We start from the raw sequence: 7,026 nt of genomic DNA on the forward strand, positions 1-7,026 counted from the left end.
GAGACCAGCCTGGCCAACATGGTGAAAACCCATCCCTACTAAAAATACAAAAATTAGCCAGGCATAGTGGTGGGTGCGTGTAATCCCAGCCACTCAGGAGGCCGAGGCAGGAGAATCGCTTGAACCTGGGAGGCGGAGGTTGCAGTGAGCCGAGATGGCGCCACTGCACTCCAGCCTGGGTGACTGAGCAAGACTCTGTCTCGAAAAAAAAAAAGAAAAAAGATATTTATTTACATTTTTAAAAAGAGGATGTATTTAAGAAACACAAAAACACAACAGAACACTTCACAGGCCACTCGATACAACAAAATAGACAACAGCAACATACATATTATTGCAAGCACAAACACCCAGGCTTACTAACTACAGTCACATGAATATGACATGAGCAGCAGATGAACCATATTCATAAAGAATCATGTCAAAAAGTGAAATATATAGATACATATTACTATGGATGGTGTTGCGTGCATCCAGCTTTATACCTGTGTTCACCTGAAATACCGTGACAAGCAACCTAAGTCTTTCAATGAAATCCATCAAAAACAGTGATGAGTCACCATTGCCTATGCAATCACCCAAAGGGCAAAGATCTTGAGAAATTTTGCCTTTCACAAATGAAGATGCACATAGAGGACATCTCTTCATTTACTGAGGAAGTTTCAACGTTATTAATTACAGGCATGACGCTGACACACAAAGTCAATGTTGCGATGATGCACTTTGGTGGAGTCAAATTTCTGACGTTCCAGGCAGCAGAAGAAAAGTCTGTCCCAGCTCTCAGTTTGCTGTCTACATTTTTCTCTCTGGACCCCCAGCCAACTGCCTGGTGCCTGCCAGCACTGAGGGCAGATCTTCCCCCACCCGTTCCACTCAGATTCACACACTATTCTCCTCTGGAAACACCCTTACAGACTCACCCAAAATAATGCTTTATCTGGATTCTAGGTATTCCTTAATTCAATCAAGTTGACACCTAAAATTAGGTTGACAAATCCACCCCTTGTCAACTTGGCGACTGTATGCATCTCTTTAAACCATACTTAATTTGCAAATAAAGACAATAGCAAGGTGTCAGTTCCACCTAATGTGAAGCCACTAACATAATGCAACTATCCCTAATACAACTGAAAGCACACTAATCCCTTCCCCAGAATTTGGCTTTCAGGATTTAAGCATTGGGAATTCTGTCTTTAGCGACTGTATTAGTCTGTTTTCACACTGCTATAAAGATACTACCCAAGTCTGGGTGATTTATAAAGGAAAAAGGTTTAATTGACTCACAGTTGTGCATGGCTGGGGAGGCCTCAGGGAACTCACAATCACGGCAGAAGAGTGGGGGAGCAGGCACATCTTACACGGTGGCAAGTGAGAGAGAGCCTGTGAAAAGGGAACTGTCAAACACTTATAAAGCCTCCGATCTCGTGAGAACTCACTCACTGTCATGAGCACAACATGGGGGAAACCACCTCCATGATCCAATCAATTCCCACCAGGTTCTTCCCTCAACACGTGGGGATTATGGGGATTACAATTCGAGATGAGATTTGGGTGGGGACACAGAGCCAAACCACATCAGAGATTATGATTGGCGCCAATTCAAATTCTAGCTCCACCATTAACTAGTTGCATGTTTATGGATAAATGGCTCAGTCTAACTGAGCCTCAGTTTCCTACTCCATAAAATGTAGGATTTGGATGATATTAAGGATAATAAATATATGGCACACACATTCTCTCCCACACACCAGGCAGCAGGGCCAGATGTTGATGTGTGGGCACTCCAGACTAATTGGCCCTCATCCAACCAATATTACTTACAAAGTTGTTCAATATTTATTTATCTAGGGAGGATAGAGAAGTTGAAAGAAAAAAAATTTGTATTGGCCAGGAGCAGTGGCTCACGCCTGTAATCCCAGCACTTTGGGAGGCCGAGGCAGGTGGATCACGAGCCCAGGAGATCAAGACCATCCTGACTAACATGGTGAAACCCTGTCTCCACTAAAAATACAAAAAATTAGCCGGGCGTGGTAGCTGGTGCCTGTAGTCCCAGCTACTCGGGAGGCTGAGGCAGGAGAATGGTGTGAACCCGGGAAGCGGAGCTTGCAGTGAGCTGAGATCGCACCACTGCACTCCAGCCTGGGTGACAGAGCAAGACTCCATCTCAAAAAAAAAAATTGTATTAATAAAAATTATATTTGCTAGTTTACTTCAACAAGGCTAATCAGAGTCACTGAAAAACTCCCTAAAATATTCCCTTTTTTGTGTGTTCTTGTTCTCTCCCCTGATTTCTTTAGTCCATTTCTTGGGAGTTATATTACAACCTTTGAAATGTATTTAATAAAACAAATTTCTTCTTCTGGGCAAAAGGCACTATATCATGAAATATTTCAATTGAGAATTTTAACAAAGTGGGACTTCATGAGCAAGTTGCAAAAGACATAAGCAGAGATGTGCTTTTAAAAGTTTCACTTCAGAGTGCTGTCTGCTTTGGTGGGAGTGGAACAAATTACATTTAACTAGTCTATCCCAGTGATGTTTTAGTGTTTCTTTCACATCAACATTTTCCAGCAGCTGCCCCAGAGGCTTGAGTTCCTGCAGCTGTCCAGGGCAGACATTACTAATGGAGCACAGCACTCCTTCCTGAAGAGCCTGGATGCAACCCCAGCTTCCCTGGCACCTGCTTCCAGTTATAGACCCTGCTGGCCATCCTTGGGCTGGGTTGACTCTGCAATTCCTTGCAGCTTCAATGTTTTAGGAGTCTGTGATGTTAAACTTTACATGATAATCTGAGTAACCATTTGTCTGGGACCTGAGAAACTGACATGTAAATTTGATTTTAAACATGTTTAAATGAATGTTTGTACAGAAGAAAAGGATGTGGAAAACTGAAAAAAATCTCTGTTAGGTATTTTCCAGGAAGTAACAATTGAAGACAATTTTATGAAAATAATCTGGACTAATGTCAAGCTATGTTGAGGGCAATTTAAGACCTAGAATTGGGAGGATGGGCCTAGAACCTGGATGGAAAGAGAGATCTTGTTTTTCAGAGATAAAACAGCATTGGATTGGGGGTGGAAGATGAGCTAAGAAGATCAACTGCAAAAACTTTATTTTTGTGAGCTGCATCCAGTGCCAATCTGAATTTAGCTAAAATTTGAAACAGCCAATGCTGTTGCAGAGTCACTTTTGTGCTCCATGTCTAATGAGGAATGTACTGATGGGAGATGAGCATTGCTTTACAGATCATCAGACACAGTTTTGAGTTCTGGCTTCTGTAATTATTTGTTGTGGGACCTTGAAGTAAAGTAATTTATCTCGACTGTTTGCTTATCTGTGCAGTGACGATACTATCACTTACCTTTTCATGTAATAAGGTTTAAATAACATCTTGTTGGCAAATCACCTAATTGAGTCTAGGAAGAAGCATTACAAATTGTCATCCAATGGTATTTACAAGTTGAGTGATTGAATCATACTTGATTAAGGAGAGCTTCATATCTACTTTCCAGTAGGGATTCTGGTAAAAGCACCATGGGGGGGACCAACAAATTTGGAACTGGAAACTGGGTCTGTGAATGTGAAATACGAATCGGCTGGACAACCCAGTAGAAAAGGGGGCCAAGAACAACAAGAAATCAACCACAAATTAATCAAGGAAGTGAAAATGGATACAATACTTTGTGTCTTTCAAATTGGGGAATATCTGTAGTCTCACTGCTAGGGGGATTATAAATCAGTATGGCCATTTGGGAAGGTGGTTTGGCAGTTTATCAAAGTTCCTTTCAGCATTGTGCCTCTCTCTCCACATAGGATGGTTCTGCCCTATACGAAGCACCAAGAGCTCAGAAACAACCTCAGGAAGAGAGAGGGAGCCCTTGCTCCAATTTATTTATTCTTAATTTATCAATTTCTGTCATATTACATATGTATTCCATTATGTCGTTTATTGGCTGCCTCACCTATTGGAATGTAAATTCACCGGAATGAACTTTACTGGAATGTAAGAGAAGACAGGGATTTCATCTCTCAGGTCCATAGGCATATGAACGTGAAGTTCAGAATATGAATACATAAAAAGATCCCACAAGGTTCTAGAAAGACCTGTATGCAATTGTTCTGCATTTTCAGTCAACAGTTGGCTTGGAGGTCTAGCCATATTGGTACTTATATATCTACCTAATTCTATTTAACTTTTGATTCTGTCAACATTGCTGTATTGGAGGGGTAGAAAACTCAAATTCTACATCCATTATGTGGGAAACCTAAATGTGATGCCCAGGAGAAAGGTGTGTTACAATCAAATATCGTGCCTGCCTAATTATATGGCCACTTCAAACATTGTACATGCCAAGTAAAATCAGCAAACAGCACACACACCTGAGCTATATTTTGCCTAAGAACCAGCACTTGGTGAACTTTGCTACTGTCTTCTCATGTATTTGTAATCTTCTGTGGGTAACCATTGGTGTTTTAAGTTACTTCCTCTTTCCCTCCCAAGTTGGTACTGACTTGGGTTACATACTTTGGGATAAACTTGAGAACACAGGAGATGGAAAAAGGAAAATCAAAATGTTAGTTGTGTTACCTTAAAGCTGATTGGAGAAAGAGGCTTTAGAACTGTGGCCAAATGGACTTACTAACCCCTACCTCCTAAAATTGGCAGACTCCTGGGCATAGTCATGAGTACCACTGCTTGGCTCTACCCTGTGGGCTGGACTGTTACCACCTGGCAGGTAAGGAGATAGGGGCATACTTCCTACAGCTGATAGACCTGATCAGACAGGGGCAAGGGCTGAGTCTTTAGTATAGTTACTTCTCTAGTTACTTCTCTCAAATGCACTTATCTTACTGTTCTTTTTTTTTTTTTTTTTCACTTATAAGTTGCTGCTCTTCTTATGCAGAGAAATCATGAGGTAGAGAAAAAGGCCAGGAGTGTTATTCTCATAAAAATTCCTCCCCATAGAACTATAAGACTAGTGGGGAGCTTGATTCTTTTAATAGTAACCAGTATTTTCTGTCTGGAAACATGTTCTTATCTCTCTGTCTTTTTAATACAGCACCTTAACTAAGAAAGCTCTTGCCCTTGGTCTCTGTTCACTTATTTTTCCAGCTATGTAACAAAAATCTTTTCATTGGTAGCTTCCACTATGCCTACAGGTCACACATTCTTTCTTCTAAGATAGCTTTGATTACTATTTCTAGTCTATCGGTTCTGATCTATTATCTTATTTATTATCATTTCTCTTATGGTTTTAAACTCTTGATTTTTAAAATATGTTGACTTTTGGCCGGGTGCGGTGGCTCATGCCTGTAATTCCAGCAGGTTGGGAGTCTGAGGCAGGAGGATTTCTTGAGGCCAGGAGTTTGAGACTAGCCTGGAAATGTAGCAAGACCCCATCTCTACAAAAAAATTAAAAAATTGCCAGGCATGGTGGCACATGACTGTAGCCCCAGCTACTCAGGAGGCTGAAGTGGGAGGATCACCTGAGCCTAGGAATTTGAGGCTGCAGTGTGCTATGATCATGACACTGCACTCCAGCCTGGATAACAGGGCAACAGAGTGAGGCTCTGTCTTTTGATGAAACACAAAACAAAAAAACTAAAATATGTTTACTTTCCATAGTTCATTTTTCCTTCCCATAACTTTATTTCCCTTATAAAACCTTTGTCTCTAGCCCAGATCTCTATCCTAGGCTTCAGATCCATACATTCAACTGTTGTCAAGTTTTGTGTATCAAAAAGAAGTTCTTATCTTCCCCTCAAAACCTTTTCTACCACCTGACAGCCTAGCTAACCTTTAGCTCATGTGGAGGTTAAAATCATACTGACTTCATAGGGTTCATTGGAAAGATTAGATCAGATAATGAAAGTGATTGTTGCTTAGACGTCAAGAAAAATAAGGACGTTAACATCCCACTGCAGAATTTAAATCTGCACCAAAAACCACAATGCACAGTTGTTATCTGTGACTTCTTCACTATTCTATGTTAGATTTGCTGTTTTCCTTTTTTCTTCATAGCTAAAAAAAGGTCACAAAGCAAGGAAAATTTCAGTTTTTTACATGTGTTTTAAAACATCTACATTCTTTATCATACTCAATTTATAGTTTAGGGGGATATAAAATTCTAGGCAATAAGTTTTCCCTCAGAATTTGTAAGGCTTTGATTCATTATATTCTAGCATCTAATGTTGCTCATAAGAGATTGTGTTTCTGATTTCTTATTCTTAGTATATGACCTATTAATTTTTCCTCTGTGGTTACTTTTAGAACCTTTTGTAAAAATCCCTGGGGTTCTGAAATTTCAAAGTGATGTGCCTTGTGTGACTTTTTAGTATTCATCATGAGTAACATTTTATGGGCTCCTTCCATCTGGAGTTAGGCCTTTCAATTCTGAAGAATGCTTTCCTATTATTTCCCTCAATGACTTCCTTTTCTTTATTTTCTTTGCTGTTTTAAGTCCAAGTATTTAGATATTGCAATTTCTTAAAAATACTTTTTTCTTTTCTCCACTATTTTCTACCTCCTGATCTTTTCACCTATATATTGGATATTCCCTCAACTTCATATTCTATTATCGAATTTTAGTTATCAAATACTTTACTTTTTTTTTCTTTTTTTATTTTATTATTATTATACTTTAAGTTTTAGGGTACATGTGCACAATGTGCAGGTTAGTTACATATGTATACATGTGCCATGCTGCTGTGCTGCACCCATTAACTCATCATTTAGCATTAGGTATATCTCCTAAAGCTATCCCTCCCCCCTCCCCCCACCCCACCACAGTCCCCAGAGTGTGATGTTCCCCTTCCTGTGTCCATGTGTTCTCATTGTTCAATTCCCACCTATGAGTGAGAACATGCAGTGTTTGGTTTTTTGTCCTTGTGATAGTTTACTGAGAATGATGATTTCCAATTCCATCCATGTCCCTACAAAGGACATGAACTCTACATTTTTTGTGGCTGCATAGTATTCCATGGTGTATAGGTGCCACATTTTCTTAATCTAGTCTATCATTGTTG

Source organism: Homo sapiens, chromosome 17 (genome assembly GCF_000001405.40).
Source record: "Homo sapiens chromosome 17, GRCh38.p14 Primary Assembly".
In the NCBI taxonomy this organism is placed as follows: domain Eukaryota; kingdom Metazoa; phylum Chordata; class Mammalia; order Primates; family Hominidae; genus Homo; species Homo sapiens.